At 37.1% G+C, this 24,035-nt stretch overlaps 1 long non-coding RNA gene across 2 annotated transcripts in view; it reads right to left on the reverse strand.

Annotated features, from left to right (window-relative positions):
- The window catches only part of LOC105372091 (uncharacterized), an 87,209-nt gene that overhangs the window by 42,838 nt on the left and 20,336 nt on the right, over positions 1–24,035 (reverse strand). Inside the window, exon 3 of one of the 2 annotated variants that reach the window (XR_935421.3) lies at positions 18,326–18,650. The exons of the other annotated variant lie outside the window; for it this stretch is intronic. This is a non-coding gene — a long non-coding RNA (uncharacterized LOC105372091). Of the gene's footprint in view, positions 1–18,325; positions 18,651–24,035 lie in introns of those variants that run through there. 2 annotated transcript variants of the gene reach the window in all.

Below are 24,035 nucleotides of genomic sequence, written 5' to 3' on the forward strand. Positions count from 1 at the left end.
TGCAAATGGATAATAATGTTTAACAGGACACTGAATTTGGTATTTATCTAATCTATTTTAGGTACATTTTGAAAATTTATGGAACAATGGTAATTGTTTTTTAGATACAAGTGCTTCACACATAGAAGGGGCATAATAAATATTGATTGAAAGAATGCACAGATTATATGAGTAAAAAAATTTGCAAACTTTATGATGTCTTGTGTTATGAGAACTAATACACTTTAATTAATTCAATGTGACAAAATTTCGTAGGGAGTGTAATTTGTTCTAGCATTGCGCCAAGCTTTGAAGGAGCTATGTGAAATGTTCATGAGAGAGGCTGCATCCTTAAGAAGGGGAGCATTGAGATGAAGAGGCATGATCTATATAGACATAAAACACTGTGGAAATAAGAAAAAGAGACACTTGGCTCTGTTGCAGCTCTCAGGGGAGCTGGAATGGTGAGATAAGATACTACGGAAGTGAAATTGAGGCAGGTATTGAGTAACTTCCAAAGGGGTGTATAATATGCTCTCCCATTTTATCAAAACAAGCATTTAAAAATTGTCAAAGGATTTGCCAAGGATTCTCAGTAAAGCAGTATCTAAAGGCTATTTAAAGAAATCAAACTTCCTCCCTCATGCCAGTATTTCTCTCTATGGAAATTTTCTTTTCAGTTATATTTCCAGAAGTTTGACTCTATAGTGCCTGGATATAACATTTTTGTGTTTTTACCACTTATGGCTTACTGAGCTTCTTAAATATGTGGGTTAGTGTCTTTCATCAGTATTGGAAAGTTCTTGAGCTTTTCCCCCTCAAATACTATTTCTTTCCTATTCTCTTAAGAATACAATTACATGCATATTCAATGGCTTCATTCATCTCACATATTCCCTTCTGTTTTGTTCTTTTTACTCTTCCCATGTTTTGGTTCAGGTATTTTCCCGTAACCTCTCTTGAGATTCAATAATCCTATCCTCTGTTGTGTCCAGTCTGCTGTTAAACACGTGCAATTTCTGATATTATATTTGTACTCCTAGAATGTTCATTTAATGACTTCTTAGTAGATTCTTACTCGCTACTGAAATATTTTATCTGTTTATCTATCCCACCCATTTTTTCACTCTATTTTCTTCAACATAGTTTTTTGGAAGTCCTTGTTTGTTAATTCCAACACCTAGATTTTCTCTGCATTTTATTCTGCTAACTCGTCTTATCTCTTTATTGTGAGTCACTTTTTCTGTTTGATTTTATGTCTAGTAAATTTTGATGGTATAGTGGACATTGTCTATAATGCAGTGCAGAGGTTTTAGATTATGTTATCTTCTAAGGCAAATTGAATTTTATTCTGGCAGGTCGTTAATTACTGGTGAACCCCTTTGATTCTTTTCAAGCCTAGTAAAAGTTTTGTAGAACAGAGCTATTTCTGTTTTTTTTTTTTTTAAATTATTATTCTCAGGCACAGCCCTTACTTTTATAGAATGGCCATTTTAGAACCTTTAACTGGTGAGGGTGTTGCTCAAGGTACTGCTACACTGGCTGCCATCTGCGGGGCTTCTGGAATCACTGGTCAGCTCTCAACCTCTCAGCACCTGCTATCTCTAGGCTTCCTATAGTCTCATGCTGTACTTGCACAGGCAAGGAGTCGGTCTAGGGTGTGATGCATATTTCCATACAGACTTTTGAGATGCTCCTTCTCTGGCAATATACCTTCAAAAGTCCAGTTACCTTAGCAGGCCCAAACTCTAATTTTGCTTCCTTTGGCCATTAAGATCACTTAAGCATTTATTGGGCCCCTCTTTCATGCATCAAATCCCAAAAGAGTCATTGGGAGAAAGTCTGAGTGAATCTGGCTATCATCTCCTATGCCTGCTTCTCTTAAAGAATACACCATTTTATTTGGTTGTTCTCTGATATCTGTAAACAAATGATTTGATATAATTTATACAGGTTTTATAGTTTTCTGATGGGCAGGAGAATATAGTACCAGTTACTCCATCATGGCCAGAGTCTCCCTACTAAAGAGAAGTTCAAACTCATTTATACACATGCATAATATGCAGGTTTAGTTGTATTCTCACATACATATGTGTGTATGCATATGCATATATGCATTCAGGTTTTCTTGTGTGTGTAGATATGCACACACATATGAATGAACATATATCTACATGCATACAGGTTTACTTATAAATATACACAATGTATGAGGATAATTATGTACACACAAACATGAATGCAATTGAGGGTTAATTCATGCAGGCAGAGTTAGCTTTGTGTGGTTAGAAGGTAGAGATTTTCCTCCCCACTCCTGGGTAGTCTATTGGAGAGATATTTTGTTAATTGAGGATTTTCTTGAGGGTTAGTTCACCAGTCATTGACTCCTTACTGTGAATTCCTTGAAATACTCTCCCCTTCTAGCTAGGTCCCAACAAGGGTAAAGGCTAGAACTGCTGTTCCAAAACAGGTCTCTGCATTCCCCTTCCAGTGCTCCTCCTGCTGCGCCAAATTGTCTGTCTCAAGAAGGAATTGGTTTTTTCTGCTATTCTTCACTCCGCAGATACATAGTTCTTTGCTGCACTAAGCATTGACTACTAATGGAGATGTTCTAGGCAGCACTCTGGAGATTCCACTCTGTCCCTCTGCCTTAGTTTCAGGAATAAGCTTTAGCAAGTTTTGTTTTAATTCTTTCTCAAAACAGAAGAGCCTATTATTCACTCAAGCAGGGTGAAGAATAAAAAGAAAAAGTAACATTTAGCCAGAAGGAAAGGCTGGAATTAAGTAGAAAAGGAACCACAGCCCTGAGCGACTTTTCAGTTCAGAGGCTTTTATTTCTTATCCTCCCTGTTCTCTATATCTGATCTTGTCCCAGTAATGGTAGCATTCAGGCCTTCTCAGTATTCTTCCCATTCTGTCTTCTAACCCTCAATTCCCAATAAAACCTCAATTTGAGGTGAGAATAACCAGTGATATTAAGCTGAAATCTGCTCCCCTTGAAGACACTTGCATCTCAGCAAAGGATCTTCTCCTTGAGCTAAAGAAACAAAATTCCCAAGGCGGCATTTCTAGCATTAGAGAGTAAGTGAAGGAGGATTGGGCCAAAGCTTAGGGAGAGGCGGGAAAGTCTTTGTGCATCTCGGAAGTCATTCTCCATGGTGGAATCCTTGGCGACTAATAACACAAGATTGATAAAATCCTGACATTCTACTCTGAGTCTAGGTCCATTGGAGATGATGCTATTTTCAATCCCAGAGGGAAGGAGGATTATATAAAGGGACTTTGTGAAATGAAGAGAAAAAGAAACTCCCTGAGGTGCTCATTCTTTGTTTTTTTAATTTAAAAGCTGATAAAATGATTAGTCTGATCTAAGTTTAACAAAATTATTTATACATCCTAGAAAGTGTTTACACATCCTAGAAAGCTGTATGGTAAGAAAAAATTAATGTATTTAATTCTTACAGCAGTCAAATTTGTCTTTTAAATATGTGAATCATATCATGCCTTATCACAGCTTAAAAGCCTCCAAAGTCTTCCTGTTGCATGAAGACTGGACTAGCAGCACCTGGTGATCTGGTCTCTGTCTTCTTCCTCTCCATCTCCAAGCTCCAATCATGCTGACCTTTCTGTTTGGAAGCCCAGCTTGTTTCTGCCTTGGAAATCTCACTTTTTGTTTTCATTTGAAGAAAGAGCCTGAACAGCTCTTCCCTCAGATCTTTGCTTCTCCTTGTTATTCAAGATTCACTTCCAATGTCATCTTAGGTTTCCATAACCCTTCATGCTCCATTACATTCTCAGATTGCATTTTTCTTCAGCAACAATCTTGATTTTTGTGCAGTCATGGTCTAAGCCCTTTCTTCCCCATGAGAATGCTCTCTTTGAGGGTGGGGTCCCATTTTTTTCTCCTCTCAAGTATATGTTTGATTGGCAGAACAGCTACTGGCTTAGAGCAGGTTTTTAGTAAAGTGTGTGAAATGAAGGAATTAATGAATCAGTGAACAAATAGTTCATTCCAATAGGCTTACAAGAATTGCATTCATAGTCATAAAATGCCTAAACCGAGAAGCCCACGGAAAGGCTCTCACGTACTTTTCACTTAATGCAGCTCCTACCCCTCCTTCAGCATTTTGATAGCTGCTTCTGCTTAAAACAACAGCTTTATGCAACAGCTCATCTTGCTCAGACAGCCTTCTTAGTCCCACACTCAGTGTGTGTTGACTTTCATTTACTGCACAGTTTTAACATGTTCATCTGGTTTCCACGTCCTTAGGAGACCTACAGCACCAGATTAGGAAAGGGAGGGGACTGTCACTGAGAGGAAGATGAGACATCTCATAGTTGACAGTGGAAGAAAAAGACAAAACTCTCTGAAGAACTCATAACCTGGAAGCTGCACCCATTTAGTTAAGGAAATAGTTGAGTGCATTTAGTAACTGAAAAGCACCATAATATACATAAGGGGAGTACTATAAGAACCTAGACATTGTCACTGAACTGATCTGGGTTCAAGTTCACATTAGTAAAGTGGCTTCAGATAACAAAGTTTACAAGCCCCCAATTGCTCCTTTGTACATTAGAGAAATAAGTCTTGTCCTGAGAGATACTGTAAGGAGTGATAGAATCTTTGTACAATACTTAGCCTTCTGTACTGCCATGAAGTAAACCTTCAATAAATGTGAACTACTCTTATTACAACCTTCAATAAATGTGAACTACTCTTATTACAATAACGCTCATTTTGATGGCCTTATATTATAGATAAAAGGATAAATTCTGTGCAGTAAATTTTATGAATACCCAATGCTATTACTTTTTAGATTTTAGTATAAAATAAATAAAACTTCACACATTCAAACGACCTGACACAATTCATGTTAATACTAATATGTTTTATTTTAATTAATTTTATATTTTATGAACCCCTTTCATAGATATTCTCTCATTTGATGATTCACAGCTGCTTATTCAATGAACAATGTAAAGCTCTAGCAATATTTTGTAATAAAAGTTACCTGTATTCCGGTTCAAGAAACAGCTGCATCTCTTCAGTCTTAATGTTTGGTTTGGCTGAATCAGACTTCCTATGCCAGAAAGTACAGAACCAATTTGTTCTCTTAAAATCTCAAATGTTAAAGGTAGGGAAGAAAGGTCTTTATCTTTAAAAGGCAGCTTGGAGATATCAGTTAAATTTGCTGCCACCCACAGATGCTTAACCTGGAGAAATCAGAAATAATGGAGGATTAAAGATTATGTGCCTACAGTAATTTTGGAAAATGAAGGAGTCCCTCAGGTAGAAACATGATCCATTAGCCCAAAGCTTTTCAAGTTACAGCCTATAAATATTTGAAGTGTTTAACTTCTAAGGAGGCAAAGGAATTACTCAACCTAGTACAAGGAGAGGTGATGAGGAGTAATGGGATGACATTAACAAAGAGAACATTTCCTCAACAGAGGGGAACAGATAACTTAAAGGCTTTGCTTAAAATGGAGACTCTGTGACTTCGAAGAGTTGAAGCAATATGGCACTTTATGATTAGACCTGATGGCTGAGTCCCATTTTCAGTTCCTGTGGCTGGTCACCTGCTCAGAGTTCATGGAGTGATTTTTTAATGGTTCACTCAGCACCTTTTAGCTTGGATTTAGGTGAACTAGTATGAAAGAAGAAGAGTCAGAATGAGTAGAAATGTTGATGCTTTGTAGGACATTGACATCCACTTTTGCTGTTTTTCTTATTCAACACTGCCTATTGACTACACCCCATGTTACCATGATTGCCTGTTTCCTTGATGGTTTTTAATGATGACTGAATAAGGAAAGGAAAAGACAAGAGGCAGGGACTGGAGGAGAAAGGTGAATATGAAACTGGCTGTCATACACATGTAATCATTGATGAATATTCAACATTACCCTGAACAACTAGCACACAGGCAACTGTTTCTATTTGTAAATATATACTTCTTTTTGGTTCCCTTTGTTGACTCTTTATCAGCAAGCCTGCTTTCTATATTATTAAATACAAGAAGAGAAGAAAACAAATATAAATAATGAAAGAACCAGAGTTGAAATATTTATGTCCTCCAATGTATCAATTTTGAAGTCAATAATGAGGCTTTAAAATATTTAGATGATGCCAATGCAGTTTAAAAAATATTGTAGGATTCCATTTATATGAGGTATCCAAAATAGGCAAACTCATGGAGACACAAAGTGTAATAAAGGTTAGCAGAGGCAGGTGGAGAGGGCACTAGGAGTTATTGCTTAATAGATACAGAGTTTCTGTTTGAGATGATGAAAAAGTTCTGGAGATGAATGAGGGTGGTGATGGTTGCATCATAAGAATATACTTAATGCCACTAAATTGTGTACTTAAAAATAGTTAAAGTGGTGAATTTTATATTCTGTGTTAACACAGTTTTAATAAAGTTTTTCTTAAATTTTTGAATGTTAAATCTGAAGTCAAGGGATTCATTATAACTGAATTGCTAGCTATAGGACATTTTTTCAAGAGAAGACGGTTTTCACACTCCCTAGACATCCGAATCATTTCCTAACACCTTGTTTCCCCATTACCACTAGCAATAACTTTCTAAAATTTAAGTTAATCTTTAAGATTAAATGCTAATATTTATTAGCCACATATTGATGATTTGAATTTATGGCATATTATAATTTGTGATAAGATAAAATTTATTCATTTACTAATTCAGGCAACAAACACATTTTAGCACCTGCTGGTCAAGACTTTAGGTAGTAAATGAGCGTGATATATATAAAGATTGGTGATATTAGTCTCTACTTTTAATGAGCCTAATATCTATCAGAAAACTAAGACATGTATTTCAACAATTGAAAAAAAAGTAGAAGTTAATATATGTTGAAGATACTGCAGCTGTATTTAAATTAATATATTGTAATGAATAGTTTCACAGTTTGGAAAACATACTTGCATAAAAGGAGGAGGATTTGTTTTAACATCGCATCTTCATGAGGGCTAACATTTCATCCAGGTCATAGAAGATGGCAGCATATTAATTCCCATTTTGTAAATTACAAACACTTCACATAGCTATGTACAATCTAACAGTTTGGAAGGCTTATAGATCTATAGTACTAAAAGGAGACATGGGATTTGGAATCAGAGCTAGATTTAACTTCTAACTCTGATTACAACTATGTGGTTGACGGCAAATTACTTAATCTCTTGGAGTTTCAATGCGGTGTCCCATAAAATGGAAGCAGTAGCTCCCTAATGGGCAAGTCCTGGTGACTGAGATAACGCACATAAGGTATTCAGATGTAGCAACTGCTCAATAAATATTAGTTGTCTTCTCTAGTCATGGTTGTTGTAGGTTAAGTTGTTATAACATAAGGCTGATTGATTCCGTGATTTACTTGGTGTGATTCCTGGGTCAGGCACACCAGTCCTAATTATAACACTGTTCGTACCTAAAAGTGTTACTTGGTTCTCAGTGATCTGTGCTTGATAATCTTTGTGGTGAGGTTTCCAATGACATGACTCCATGAAAAGCAAGGACTGTCTTTTATATAAATGTGTGTGAATACACATATATAAAAGATACATTTATACCATTTTCAAATATTTCAAGTAATGCAATCTAGTGTCTAATAAATTGTTAGAGAACAGGGCTCCTACCAGATGTGTTTGAATGACTGGATATCAATCATTTGTAATTAGCACACTGTATGTAAATTTATGCAACTTAAGTGCTTGAAAACAATTCATTCTTGTAAGTAGATTAAATTGTCCCTTTTACAATCCTGTTTACATTGGTAATTTATATAACAGACCCTCATTTCATTGATGGTAAACTTTACCCTGCCCGAGTTCAAATTCTTTCAGTTTGGCTAAGTGCCATCTGAATTCATGAGGTTATAGTGTACGAAGGAAAAAAAATGGTGGAGTACTAAATTCCATCAATCAAGTGTTGGCTGTCAGTGACAGGAAATTGGCACAGGCACAGGGACCCCTGACCAGATGGTAGACATCTGTGCTTTTCTCATCAGCAGGGCCAGGTCAATTGTGCACCCTCTGCAGATAGGTCTCAAAGAGTCAGAGCCCCATGGGTGGACGGCTCCTCAGGGCTGTTAAAACATTTTGGTTATGAACAGCAAAGAGGAAACTGACACCTTGGGATGCCTTGAACTTTTTTGTTTTAAAAATTATGTCACAGAACTTAGGGCAGAAGTCAAGTTTGACCTCCTTGAGAGTTGTTAAGACTGGGTTAGTGTCTGCATCTCCAGAATGCAGAGAACAACACAGAGAAGCAATCTTCCAGCAGGACATTCTCAAAAGTATCCTGGGAAGGAGTGTGGGGAACTCTGGCTCCAACCAGATGGGAGAACTTGGGCTATTATATGGCTTGGAGTCTCAGTTTTTCTGTGCAAGATGGAACATATGCTCTTTGGTTTTTCTGCCTTCCAGGGAGGATTGGAGGATCCCATAAGCTGAAGAATATATGAATGTACTGCTTGAGTCCAGAGAGAACAGGAGCAAGTAATGCACCACAATACGCTTCACCTACTTAAATCACAGCCATTCCATGACAAGATTAAGCATTGTGTTTTTGTGTTTTCCATGAAAACTACCCTCATTCTTTCTTTCTTTTTTTTTTTTTTTTTTTTTTTTTTTTTTTTTTTTTTTTTTTTTGAGATGGAGTCTTGCTCTGTTGCCCAGGCTGGAGTTCAATGGCACGATCTCGGCTCACTGCAACCTCTACCTCCCAGGTTCAAGCAATCCTCCAGCCCAGCCCCCTAGTAGCTGGGTTTACAGGCCCACACCACCATGCCCAGATAATTTTTTGTATTTTTAGTAGAGATGGGGTTTCACCACGTTGGCCAGGCTGGTTTTGAACTCCTGACCTCAGGTGACCCACCCAACTCGGCCTCTCAAAGTGCTGGGATTATAGGCATGAGCCACCACACCAGCCCAAACCACCCCCATTCTTACCACCCAAGTCATGCCTCTTATGTCTGAAGTGCTAGGACCTCTAAGATCTAACCAGATCTTGTACTATTCTGGACTGTACCCTGAAGTGATAAGGAATTTGAGCACAGGAGCCATGTCTTTTCATCCTCTTTCACAGGAAGATGCTAAATAAAAATGTGTTAACTGATTCATAGCTCTGACATTTCCACTCATATTCACAGCCCACTAGACTGCGGTACTTTTCCCTCAAATCTCTGGCTGAAATCCTGTTAAAAGGACAAGCAGGATATTTCCATTCTCAGGGATTGTCAGTAAGCACCAGCCCTGCCAATGCCCACAGATGAGTCCCTGCCTCTTCTGTTCTGTGAAAGTGAGGGGGACCCTATAACCAGCCTCTCCCACTCAGAGAAAGTCATCATTGAGCTCCAAAAGCACTTGCAAATCTGGCTCTCTCTTTAAAGACTGTTGTTATTGAATTTTGATCACCAACAGTGGTAGCAAGGACAACATATGAGAGAGATAGAGAAAAAGAAGGGGAAAGAGAGAGAAAGAGACTGATTCCTTATCCTTGTGGTGATTTAAAAAAAAAAAAGGCATAAAAATTTAGAGACCTGAAATCAAATTATAGTTCTGCTCTTAACCAGCTCTGTAAGCTTGAGCAAGTCATTTCACGAACTTGAGCCTCAGTTTCCTTGCTTCTGAAATGATTATTTGAACTAGATAGTCTCTAATGACCCTTTCCATGTAATGATTCCAAGTGGAAAAGTCACAGGTAGTAAGTTATAAGAAGGTACGCAGGGAGTGGTGATGGGAAATGTGCTAACTCTTGCACTCTTTTCTGGAAAAAAGAAACAAAAATCTGTGTAGTTATTTATATGTCAGCAGAATTAAGGCTCTGGTGCGGCAACCTTCAGAACTCTACTTGGGCAAATGTGGAGATTCCATAGATGAGCATGACAGGAGGCTTATTTATTTGCATGTTTACTTGTGAGTACATGTGCATTTATTCATCATTTACATATTTACTTCATTGTTCAACAGATATCTGTTGAGCATGAAGGACTGTTGCACTGGGGATATAGCTGCACACAAAATAGATAATCCTGGCTTTCATAGGACTTATATTCCAATATTCCAGTAGTGACAGATAATAAATAGATAATACGTGAGCTAAGCTTAAGAAATCTGAAAATGGAGTAGGAAAAGGATATATAGTGAGGAATAGGAAAGGTGCTATTTTAGACATACTTTGTATGTTTGAGGGACAACTAAGAGCACAAAGTGTGTGGAGAGCACAATAAGGAAAGGGGGGAAATGAGATCAGGGCAGTGGCAGGGACAAGTATTATAGCATCTTACAGGAAGGTAGGTGTTTGGGCTTTTATTCTGAGTGAGATGGAAACCATTGCAGGGTTTTGAGTGGAAGAGTGCCACGATCTGACTAGGTTTTACAAGGCTCACTCTGCTGTACTGTGGAGAACACTGTGAAGGCAAGGCTGGAAGCAGAGCGACCAGTTGGGAGACAATTTAAATAACTTGGGAGAGAATGGATGGCTTCAGATTAAGGGCACAGCAATGGAAATGGGGAGACATGTTCTGGAATCTAAATGCATTTCCAAGGTTGAGCTGACAAACAGTGCTGATGAATTATATGTGTGGCATCAGAGAGAGACAGATGTTAAAGATGACTCATATTAAGGAGACTTAAAGTTTTTTCTTTGAGCAAGTAGCTGGTAGAATGAAGATGCCATTTGTGTTATAGGAAATAGAGTGAGAGCATGAGGGCTTTGGTGTAAGGCTTCAAATCAAGAGTCCTGTTTCAAACATGTAAAGCTTGAGTTACCTTTCAGATCTCCAAGTAGGGGTGTGGAGAAGGACATTATAGCCATGCATCTGGGTATCAGAAAAAGGTCAAAGGTAGAGATATAAATTTGGCCATCACCAGCATATAGCTAGTATTTCAGCCCTGAGACTGAATAAATTCACCAGATAAAATAGATGAGGAAGATGACCAAAAACTAAGCCCTGGGACTCTCTGACACTTAAAGGTCAGAAGGATGATGAGAGTGATCAGCTCTATCAAATGATTCAGATTCTGGTAAGTCTACTAGGATAAGGGATTTTATTTAGAATACCCATTGTGACGCAGGCAACTTTTCTTTTCCCTCATTTGCAATTGTTCTTCCAATCAATAGCCTTTCCTGCTCATTTGAATATGAGAAATGACCACTAAAATGAAATTAAGGCTCTGGTCCACTGCCATCCACCACTTGCATGAAGGCTCAGGACTGGCTTCTGTTTGGGATCAATTAGTGTGTGGATGGGTGTGTGTGTGTGTGTGTGTGTGTGTGTGTGTGTGTGTGTGGCGGGGGCAGGGGGATGGGTGGTGCCTGAGAGAAAGAAAGACAGATACAGAGAGATAGATATGTTTCGTAGAGAAGCACAATAGAACTAGGCACTGTCCCGGGCCTTAAAGTGCCTTCCCTAGAAAGACAGAAAAATCCCAAGTTGTTGTAGATCAAAATATACTTAAATAACAGACTACAGAAAACCAAAATGGAGAGACTTAGCAATTAGACAAGTGCTATGGAGCTGGGAAGGCACTATAATGCCTGAAAATTATTGTAACTCTGCATTGGAAAACTAAAGAATTAATTTATTTTCAGGAAGCCATGCCTCAAAGTCATTTCTCAAGTTATGTTAGTACATTCTAGCTTTTGCTTAAAAATGTCCAAGGGTGTTCCATTGTCTGGAGGATAATATTTCCCACAGAACACTGGTTGTCACTTGAGGTCTTTCAAACACTCATCCCACTCAGTCCTTCTAACCATTCTAATTTATAGTGAGCTCTGCCTTCAAACTCTGAGATCACTAATTACCTGTCTATCATTCATTAGATGTTTTGTCTTTAAACAAATGTGCTGTATCTCTTCACACAGATTATAAGTGATGGGAGAAATGAAACCTTGTTTTACATTTTCTCCCTGTTCACTATTACAGAACTATTATTAAATGGGTATTTGATAATGCTACTTGAATGAATGCACAAAAACTTAAATATTTCTTTACCTGCCATTTCTAGTATCTAACCAGATGAAATGTAACTAAGAACAAAATGAACAGACATATTCTGGGGTGGTGGATGCACCATTGCTAAGGTATTGAGCTGTCATATTTTCCATATTTAAGTAGAATATAAAATGAAAGAGTTTAAACCCAGGGTTGGTGTGTGTCATTTGTGTTCTGAGAATTTCATGAAACCTATCTCAAAGCTGCCCTGTCTTTTACAAGTTAAATCATGGCTGACTTGTTATTGTCATTCACAAAAAAAACAATGACTTAACCCATGGGCCTTAAATAGAGTAACCTTATGATTTATAATCTAGGCTGGGACAATTTTGAGAGTGAAAGAATATGCTAACAAAAATTATCTCAGACATTGGCTGGGCATGGTGGCACGCATCTGTGTTCCCAGCTACTCAGGAGGCTGAGTAGGGAGGCCAAGGCTGCAGTTAGCCGAGATTGTGCCACTGCATTCCAGCCTGGGTGACAGAGTGAGACCCTGTCTCAAAAAAAAAAATAAAATAAAATTAAACCAGATAAATAGACATAAACCAGGGCTATCCTGAATTTTTGGGTAGTAAACTCCTTGCAAAAGGTTGAAAGCTATAATTAATTTTTCCAGAAATAATTTAACTTATGTTTTAGGATATTAGGCACCCCCATAGCCTATTCAAAATCACTGCTTAAAAATCCTTGACCCATATTACTTCATGTCCATTTAAGTGTGTTGCTCACACAGTAAACTCACACATCCACATTAAAGAATTAATATGATCTTCAAAGGCCCCCAAATAAAACCAGATGAACAATACATAGGTACTGTTTGCTGTGCTTGATATATGCTACCAACTAAGATGTCTGTGAAGTTTATTTCTATGGAAAATAAAAACCTATTTTCTGCAGCATTTTGAAGAGGGAGACATGTTCCCATTTAGGGGAAAATTGTTAGATATTGTTCTATTTATAAGAGCATAGTAATTACTTTTGAAATAGATTCATACTTTTTCAGTACTTTCAAATATAACCCTAAGTCCTTTGTCTTTGAACTCCTTTTGGCCTCCTTGATACCAAGTTATAAAGTCAATGGACCTATGAGTTGTAATCTCTGAGGGAGCTTGGTGACTGTACCACACCCTGCCAATCACTGTAATATGCTGGGCTTCTCTGGGAACAGTTCTTATGCCTTATATTTTTTGTATGATGTCAAATTTCCAACCACGATATTGTAATAACCTCATCACAACACATCAAGTAAGACTTACAGTGTGTGCCCCACTCTATTCATTTTGTCCCTTCAGTTTTCTAAATATAATGAGCAATTAGTGAAAATAAATGTTTGGTGAGGAGGCACAGTCATAGGATGCTGCCAGTTGCTTGTCCTAAAAGATATTTCTGTATGCACATGCATAGACAAATATATGTTAATATTTAGGATGGACTTTTATGTCTCAATGACTATTTTTAAAAATAACATTAAAAAATCTAAAGTAACTATAATCTCATTGTAGAACATTTGAAGTACTGGTAGAAAATGTTTGAATCACCTGTAAGTCCTTCATCCAGCGGTAACCACTAACAGCATATACCTTTATTTTTCTATTTATTTTTTCGTGTATAACATATAAATAAAAAGCTTGGGGAATTTTTATAAGATGGATATTTGTGTGTGTATACGTATGTACATTTATCTGCATTTTTAAACTCAGATAAAAGCATAAGCACTTTCCAAAAATCTAGAAATTAGACTTAAAAAAGAACTTAAAGATCTTTCTTCTTGTTTAGCACTATTATATTACAGATGAAGAAATTAAGACGTGAAATTCACATCCACTTTTTGATTTTTCAATTAACAAATACACAGAGCCAATATTTTAGTAAATGAATATATGTATTGATGTGTAATATCAAATTTAGATGTTGTGGAATAATTCAATAAACATATAGACTACTATAAGTACAACTATACTTTTTTGAGTAATACTTGAGAGATAAATAATGTTTTGGTATATTAGCTTCTTTAATCTCCAGAATATAGTAAATACTATTATTACTATAATTTTAATTTTAGATATTAGGTAATCGAGGTTCAGTTCAATGAAACAACATGCCAAAATCAAATAAGAACTAGATAGCTGAGCTGAAACTCGAAGTTCAATGCTTTGATTTCAAAACCTTGTTTTTGTATAGTATTTGGAATCAGGTGGTAAAGTTTACAAAGTATGTTCTGCCATTAAGCATTCTTCCAGTTTTGCTGAAGGGACAATGGTATGGTTTTGCTGTGTCCCCACCCAAATCTCATCTCGAAATGTAATCCCCATAATCCCCACATGTCCAAGGAGGGACCAGGTGGAAAGTGATTGCATCATGGGGGCAGTATCTCCCATGCTATTCTTGTGATAGTGAATGAGTTCTCACAAGATCCGATGGTTTTATAAAGCAGTTTTCCGGGCTCTTACTCTTGCCTGCTGCAATGGAAAATGTGCCTCTTCCCCTCCGCCATGATTGTAAGTTTCCTGAGGCCTTCCCAGCCACGTGGAACTGTGAGTCAATTAAATCTCTTTCATTTATAAATTACCCAGTCTCAGGTAGTATCTTTATAGCATGTGAGAATGAACTAATGCAGACAAGATGTATTTGTCAGACTACGTGAACACACAGGCAAACAAAAATAGCTACAATTTATTGAAGATTCACTAGGGACCCAGTACTATGCTAAAGAATTTTGTTTCATTATCTAATTTAATCCTCACTTCTAAGGTAGGAACTCTTATTCGTAAGGTGAAATTATCCACTTTACATGCAAAGAAATTGAGAGATCATGCAATAAACCAGTAAAAGAAGTAGGGTTTGGTCCCAAGTAGCTGTATCACAGAATCATAAAGCTGAATAATAATCCAAATACAATGAAGTTTCTTTGCCGAAAAACTGAAGTTCTTTTTTTGCCATTAAATCTGACATCTTTCCTGATGCTGGGAGTAAGTAGAAAGAAGCTTCATAGAAATTGTAGAGTGTTGGACTATTGAGAGTCAGGAAGGAACTTAAACTCAATTTTGACATTGAATAAAAACACATGGATAAGTTGAGTATAAGAATAGAACTGTTGTCATTGCAGATGCAGACAAGAACAAGAGACAGATAGAAGGATATGGTATTTATGGAAACAGTAAGGCAACTCTATAGACAGAATTCTGAGACCACAGCAAGAGCAAATGTTTGGAGCCAGATTGCGAAGGGCCAGGAGTGCCTGGATGAAGAGTTTGGGCTTTGCCTTTAAACAGTTCAGGGCCATCAGATATTTCTGAATATGAAAGTCTGACAATGGTGTGCCATAAAGCTGGAAAGGGGAGGATGTCTAGGTCAGTATAATTGGCCCTGAGCAGCAGCAGCTGTCAGGAGCTTCAGTTTAAAAGCTCATCTTTGGTTTTGCCTACAGAGTTAAGGAAAAGAATCATTGCTGTCCATGGTTCTATTGTGGCTATGCCCTGGGGCAAGGTTGAAAAAAAATAAATGTCAGTCTGATTTATTCTGTTGAAAAGCAAGAAAGAGAGCATAAACTCTGCTCTGTGTTAGCAGTGTGAATTTCAGGAATCACTTTCAATGGTTCTCAAGCCTGGCTGTGTGTTAAGTTACCTAGGGCAGTTTTCAAAAGCATGTATGCTCCTGACCTATGCCCAGATACTGTGATTTAGTTTCCTTGGGGAGGAGCCTAAGCACTGGGATTTTATTTATATATATATATATACACACACACACACACACACACACTTACATACACACACACACACTTTATGTTCTGGGATACATGTACAGAATGTGTAGGTTTGTTACATAGGTATAAATGTCCCATGGTGGTTTCCTGCACCCATCAACCAGTCATCTACATTAGGTATCTCTCCTAATGCTATCCCTTCCCTAGCCCCCCACCCAATGACAGACCCCTGTGTGTGATGTTCACCTCCCTGTGTCCATGTGTTCTCATTGTTCAACTCCCATTTATGAGTAAGAACATGCGGTATTTGGTTTTCTGTTCCTGTGTTAGTTTGCTGAAATGGTTTCCAGCTTCATCCGTGTCCCTGCAAAGGACTTGAACTCATCCTTTTTTATGGCTGCATAGTATTCCATGGTTTATATGTGGCACATTTTCTTTATGCAGTCTATCATTGATGGGCATTTGGGTTGATTCCAAATATTTGCTATTGTGAATAATGCTGCAATACACATACATGTGCATGTGTCTTTATAGTAGAATGATTTATAATCCTTTAGGTATAAGCCCAGTAATAGGATTACTGGGTCAAATGGTATTTCTGGTTCTAGATCCTTGAGGAATTGCCACACTGTCTTCCACAATGGTTGAACTAATTTACACTCCCACCAACAGTGTAAAAGTGTTGCTATTTCTCCATATCCCCTCCAGTATCTGTTTCCTGACTTTTTAATGATCGTCATTCTAACTGGTGTGAGATGGTATCTCATTGTGGTTTTGATTTGCGTTTCTCTAATGACCAGTGATGATGAGCTTTTTTTCATATGTTTGTTGCCATATAAATGTCTTCTTTTGAGAGTCTGTTCATATCCTTCTGAATGGGCAAAAACTGGAAGAATTCCCTTTGAAAACAGGCACAAGAAAAGCATGCCCTCTCTCACCACTCCCATTCAACATAGTATTGGAAGTTCTGGCCAGGGTAATCAGGCAAGAGAAAGAAATAAAAGGCATTCAAATAGGAAGAGAGGAAGTCAAATTGTCTCTGTTTGCAGATGACATGATTATATATTTAGAAAACCCCATTGTCTCAGGCCAAAATCTCCTTAAGCTGATAAGCAACATCTCAGGATACAGAATCAATGTGCAAAAAGCATTGAGAATTTTAAAAGCTCACAGCTTCTTCTAGGTTGAGAACAATTGCTGCAATGGAGGATACTAAAACCAGTACTGGAACACCATATGTATGACTTTTATTTTAGCCTTAAAACAAAATCTCCTTTCCAAACCCATCAGTTAAACCTGAGCTCCCAGCCTCTTCCAGCCAAGTATTTTAGAAAATATATTTGGATTCTCTTTTTTTAAAAAAAATATTTATGTATAATTTTGTTGCAGAATCCAAGAGAAGAAATAGAAAACTTAATTGTCCTGCCTGCATTTATTTTTCTCATCTTGTTTGAATTTTCCATCCAGATCTACCTTTCTGACTCATTTTCTTATTTTTCCTCCACTAGCTTTCCCTACTTCACCACCACTTATCATGTTATTTTGTTCTCAGCAATCAGTGTACAATTTAAGGAAGAGATTCCCTTCCCCCAAGAAACCTTTGTCTGAATCATTCTTCAAGGCTCAGCCAAGGCAAGTCTTATCTCCTTCATGTGTTTATCCCTGGTGGACTCTGTCCTGAAATCCTATTTTTCCTCACTTCTTGGTACTTATGACATTAACAATATCTTGAAGCATCAAGCTTTTTGTATGTAAGTGTTTCATCTTTTCCTCCTTAAACTGCAATGCCTTCAATATCATCAAATACTGCTTGTGGCAGGTGTTCATTGAATCTCCTCTAATGGTCTTCTGTGATGAACTTCTCCCCACACTCATGACTCTTTAATGCTGCTTGTGGGTCCTGATGCTTAGGTTGTATCATGCTTTCTCACTACTGTTAATTTTTTCACTGCTCATTCTAATTAGAGTAAATGACTCATGGTTTGTAGCATTTTCTGAGGCATTCTCCACAGATCTCTGGACCTCTTCTTACAAGGAGACCTGAAAAATTGTATATTTTTATAGCTCTTAGATAGTTTTGATTATTAGCCAAGTTTGCAAAGAACTTCTTAGAGCAATATTTTAAATTTCTTCTGCTACGGTGCATAGGAATATATTTTTATATTCCAATCCAGTGCCTCACATACCCATAATTGAAACAAAGAAATATCTACCTTTATTACATGTGAGATATTCTGATGTTTTCTATTCTATTTTGCTTCATGTTTTTTTTTTAAATAGTGATCTTGCAATTCTCTGTTGGGTTGCAACCCTTAGTCTGAAAAAAATATTCTTCTAGAATGTAGTAAGAGTTACACTTTTTTTTTTTTAATGCTAGTGGTATTGATTTGTATCTTTGTGTTATGCCATCCCGAGAAATGGTTTTACTTGAAAATTTTTTTTATTTCATTTATTTCTTTCTTAAACTAAGTCATGAGTATGAGCCACTTCCTCAGGCTTACTCTATTTCAGCTCTATGTTTCTTTAAATGTCTAGAAAGTCTTAGTGCTTCTAGGAGATATCTCTGAAGAATCTTGCCCATGTTCCAACCCATAAAGACAAGAGAGTAGTTGCTTTTAACACCATAAGGATCTTATAAATATCTCGATTTGTGTTTACTGTGCATTTTCTTTGGCTGACTTCAGCCTTCTAGAGAATACAGTTTTTGCCTGTCCCTATCTGTATTTCAAGAATTTGAAATACTGCTGTATGCCATTTCGTTGATTTCGTTGTTTAATACATAGTTGTTGAGTGGTTGTCTTGTGCCTTCTAGCTTGGTCTATATGTAATAAAACTTGACATCAATTTATTCAAGCAGAGACCTCTTAATATACCATGCTGTCACTTCTAGCTTTCCAGTTGAAAGACAAGATGGCTGACACTCATACCAAGGTGGATTGTGTCACTGGTTCTCCTGTATAAGAAAGTAAGAACAGGAGCTGAGCCAAAACGATAAAAAATGCATGGCCCCATTCATTTTTTTAATTGCTTTTTGCAATGAGATCCTAAAAATCTTTGGCTAATCAAATCACTTGGACAGAGGTAGAGATAAAAAAAAAAAAAGGCACCCTCAATTTTTCTATCCTATGTTAATTGGACCAATGATGGGGCTAAGGAGACCCCTCAGAGCTTGAAGGTGTTTCTGTCACTTAGTGGAAAGCTGACGCAAAACACTTAACATAGCTAGTTGGATTGCACATGGATATTATGGATGCTGCCTGGAGCAACTGTCTAGATTAAAAATTGGCTTATGAGTAACACACTATACTCTGGATGAAATTCGTAGGGTTGGATTTAGGCTTGCTTTTTAAAATGTTTCATTTTAGATATCCAGGTTATTTTAAGCTATATCACGACCATCTTACAGAAGGTGTGTAGAAAAATAATAATAGTTAAGAAACAGAATATCTTTATGTTGAAAGGCTGATTTTTTTATAGTAAGATGTAGTTAAATTTATAGGTCCATATTTTACACACACACACACACACACACACACACACACACACATACATACTGTTAGCAAGACTAGCTAACACCATCAAAGAGGTCCAAATTCTGTTGGGCATGTGGAGCTGTGCAAAGAAGAAAGAGAATGAACTCTTCTGAACTGACTATTGATAATTGAAACTGATAACTTCTTTGAATTGGATTAAATAATTGCATGAAGATCATAAGATACAATTTTCTTTTGATTTTTATAAATTTGTTTTACAGATTTCTTTTCATTCATTCAGCAATAATTTATTGAGTACTCATGATTTGTCAGGCAAAATGCCAGGTTCCTGACATTAAGGAGCTCTCAATCTAGTGAGAAGCATGTAAACAAAAAGGCTTTTTGAATGATAAGCTTCAATGGAAAACATAATAGAAGCCATGTCGACTGATATAATCTGAACCAGTATTTTGTGTATTGAGAAAGTTAAAAAGAATTGTAAAATTGCTAATGCTATAAATACTGTATGTTTAGCTTAAAATGATCATTAATCAATTATAATGTAATATCAATGCCTTTTGCGTATGGGTTCAATAGCTGGTGTTTTACATGGTCTTTTTATGTAAACCATGTCTACAATGCATTATATTCAATTTCTAATTTTAGTGTTTTTGCTTTGAGGAAGAGTGAAAAGTTAAAAATATTTGCATCAAAACAGTCTGAATTCTGAATACCTCTAGAATGTTTTATTTTTACCTCCACTCTTGTATAATTTTTCACTCATACCTAATTTGACTTGCTTTTATCAAGTCTTTCCAGACCAATTAACATAATTTTCAGAAAAACAACCCTTATTTTTCACACTCATATCATCAGTTTAATACATGATTTAATTACATAATCACAATGAAAAAGTTCAACTACCAAACCTGGGAACACACAGTCGGTTCTCAGGACCAAGGTATGCACTAGGCAGAGGGTACCAGCCTCCTACTTTCAGTGTGCCCTGTCAGCTATTTTACAGGGGAAGAAAGCCAGAAGTTATTGTGAAAATTTTGTCATTTGAGACATCAAAAAGCTTGCTAGGTAAATGCTGTAACCTAGGGTCAAGCAAAATGGAGTAAGAGTGACTAAAGGACTGGGGAGATTTGGAGAAGGTTTCATAGAGGTGATGATATATGAACTGGATCTTCAAGTAGGAGTTTTCTTCATGAAGAAAGGAGCAAAAGCTATCCCATCCCGAGAAAGCAGCTTGTTTAAATGCAGAGTCAAGAAAGATATGGAGTGTTTGAGGAGAAGTTGGAAGTTGAAGGTAATTAAGCACAACAGTCAGTCAATGGATAGAGTAGTGAAAGATGAAGTTGGAGAAGTAGGATGCAGTAGATTGTAGAGCGACATACCAATTAATTAGAGATTCAAAATATAATTGAGGTACATGATTAATTATGAAAGTAGGCAGGTTACTCATTAGGTATTTACTAAGTGAATGCAAAGGAAAACAGGTGAGTGCCTATTACTGTACATCACTTTTTAAAGAATAACCAGGTCAAGATTAAATTTTATCAAGAATGCAGTATACAAATATTTTTTAAAATTATCTTCCAAATACAAGGCTTGAAGTAAAAGCAAAAGCACTGTGTGTCCCAAAACTGAATATTTTTAAAAATCCAACTAGAAAATGGGCAAAAAACATGCACAGACATTTCATTAAAGAGGATACACAGATGCCAAGTAAACACGTGAAAAGATAGTAAGCATCATTAGCCATTAGTGAAAAGTATATTTAAACTACAATGAGATATCACTACATACCTATCAGAATGGCTAAAATGAAAAATAATGGCAAGGGAAAATATTGGCAAGGATGCAAAGAAGCCAGATCACTCATACATTGCTGTTGGGAATGTAAACTGATACAGCTACTTCAGAAGTTTGGCAGTTTCTTTCAACACTGAAAATCTACTTAACATTCACCCAGAATTTTCAGTCTTGGGTATTTATTCCAGAGAAATAAAGTCTTATTTTCATGTGCACAAATGTTCATAGCAGATTTATTCATAATAATCTCAAACTGGAAACTACCTATATATCCCTTAATGGGTGCATAGTTAAATAAACTGTGGTTATACATACCATGGAATACCATTCAGCAGGAAAAAGAAACAAATTATTGAGAAATAGAACTTGGACAAACCTCAAGAAAATTATGCTAAGTGAAAAGCCAGTCTCAGAAGGACATGTATTGGTTCCATTTATGTAACTTTCATGCAATAACATACCTAAAGAGATGGAGAATAAATTTGTGGTTTCCAGGGATTAGGGATATTGGGGAAGGAAAGAGTGAGTGTGGCTATAAAGGGATAGCACAAGAGAAATCTTCGTGGCAATGGTATAGTCGAGTGTCTTGATTGTGGTGGTGGTTATGCAAAGCTACATGTGTGATAATATTCCATAGAACTGTAAATTTGCATCCCTCAACATACACAAATGGGTTATAGATTTACCATCTATAACTGGTAAAATATGAATAAACTATGGATTATACTAATATCGGGTTTCTGGCTTTACTATGGTGCTAGAGTTGTGTAAGATGTTAATATTGGAAGAGGCTGGGGAAATGGTGCACTGGAACTTCGCTGTACATTTTTTTTTTTTTTGCAGCCCTCTGGAATATATAGCTATTTCCCAATAAATAATTTTATAAAACTTTGCATCTATGTGTTATAATTTCTATATGTCTAATCGGTTGTGGCAAGTAGCTATACTGAGCCATATCTGTCACCTTGTGGCAGCCTCTGTGGTGGTAATTCTTTGTTAGGATGTGGAAAATCTATTCAGGATCAACCTTAAGCCCTAAGCCACAATACATGTAATAGTTATATCTATCACACTCAATGACTGTAAGCGATACACTTTGTGACAGCTGGCTTCACCACATGCTACAAACCTTGTATAGAATAGGTCTTGGATATAGATAATTGCTCATGATACAAATGCATTGATTATACTGACATCTGCCAATGTTCAGTCTCAACATACTAATGGATCTTTTCCTTAGGTAAGGGACAAGAGCACATTCCAAAATAAACTAACTGAAACCTAAATATAATCAACAAAGATGGTTTTCTGCCCTATATATTAATGAAGGTAAAGAAAACACACGAATTCAGGAAAAATCTAAAACAATTCCTAAACAGTTCAAACTTTTAGAGTAATCTTTGTTTGCAGGTAGAGAAGGGTGAGGTTTCAGGATCGTCATGAAAGATGTTGGCTTTTATCCACCTTTTTCCTGATGCCAAAACTTTTATAACTGGGAGAAAATACTCTTCCTTTCAAATGCAGAAATCAGATGCACTACAAATCCCCCTAGAAGGAGGATAAATGGTAACTTCCAGGATAGAGCTTGGTATTGCTATGACGACTTTAGATTCAGGTTATGAATCTAAAGGTTATGAGGAATGCGCCTGAGTGTGCAGCGTGAGTATGTGCTCCCCTGCATTCTGTGACTGCAGGGCTGATAGGAAAACATCCCGCTTTAAGAATCTGACTTTAAGACAGGCCCATTATTCTTGGATGATCCAGTGCTATGCCTTTTAGAATTTTTGCCCCAAGTGGGAATGTTCCCTCTTTCTGCCATAGATTGAGATCTCCCCAGTACCCAGCTCTTCTGCCATCTCAGGCACCAAGGAAAAGAGGGCAGGTAAGTCCCTGCAGCAGCCCTGATGCACCACCATGCCCTAGATTCTGATCTCTTCACACATTCTCTTAGCCTTGTTGTCTTGGTCTCTGGCGCCTCAGCTGCTCTCTGCAGCACATTAAAGACTTGCCATCTCTATTAGCCACCAATAATGCACTAATACATTTGTCCTCCTATTACCTCGGACACTAATTTGGTGGAATTGGATAGTGACAGCACATTGATGTTGTTGAAGTTAATGACCCAGCAATTTACAAGATAAGTCACATTAGTAGTCAAATTGATTGTAATCATTGTTTCACTGAACAGAATCTGCATTAAGTACAGTGTGTTGTGCTCTGTCCTTCACCACCCCATTAACAGAGAGAAAGAGATGATCAGAATCTTCACCTTCATATCTTCTTTCACGTTTCTGCAATGAATATGTTGGGACTTCTGCTTTCTTTTATAGCTTTCATTGAAAGATGCTAAGCACATATGAGAAACAATAGAATTTAACTTTATATACCTTTGAATATAACTAGGCCACTGGAGAGTTACAGTTATTCATCTCTTCTTTATTGGGCACCTATAATTTTCTTGGTTTTGTGATTTGTACTAGGGACTCCAGATAAGTTGTAAGATGTAATTTCTGTCCTCAGGGAGCTCACATTTGAATAAGAATCATGTAACAGCCAGGCTAGGTGGGTCACACTTGTAATTCCAGAACTTTAGGAAGCTGAGGTGGGCGGATCACTTGAGCCAGTAGTTCGAGACCAGCCTGGGCAACATGGCAAAACCCTGTCTCTACTCCCCCAGCTCCAAAAAGCAAACAAACAAAAAACATAGCAAGTCCTGCTGGCATGCACCTGCTCCTAGTTATTTGGATGGCTGAGGTAGGTGGATCACTTAAGCCCAGGAGGCAGAGGTTGCAGTGAGCTGAGATGGTGCCATCATAATCCAGCCTGGGTAATGAAGTGAGATTTTTTTTTTTTTAAGGAATCATGTACAAGATGATGAGATGGTAGGAGACATAGGAGACATTCTCAATGGGTAGAACAATCACTTCTGAAGAGAGAGTTGAAATAGACAGGGAGAATGTCATACTGGAGATGAAATTGTCAGTAGGCACTAAAATATTTCTAAGATATTGATAAATATCAGTAAATAAGTCTTTATTCTTTAATTT

Source organism: Homo sapiens, chromosome 18 (assembly GCF_000001405.40).
Source record: "Homo sapiens chromosome 18, GRCh38.p14 Primary Assembly".
In the NCBI taxonomy this organism is placed as follows: domain Eukaryota; kingdom Metazoa; phylum Chordata; class Mammalia; order Primates; family Hominidae; genus Homo; species Homo sapiens.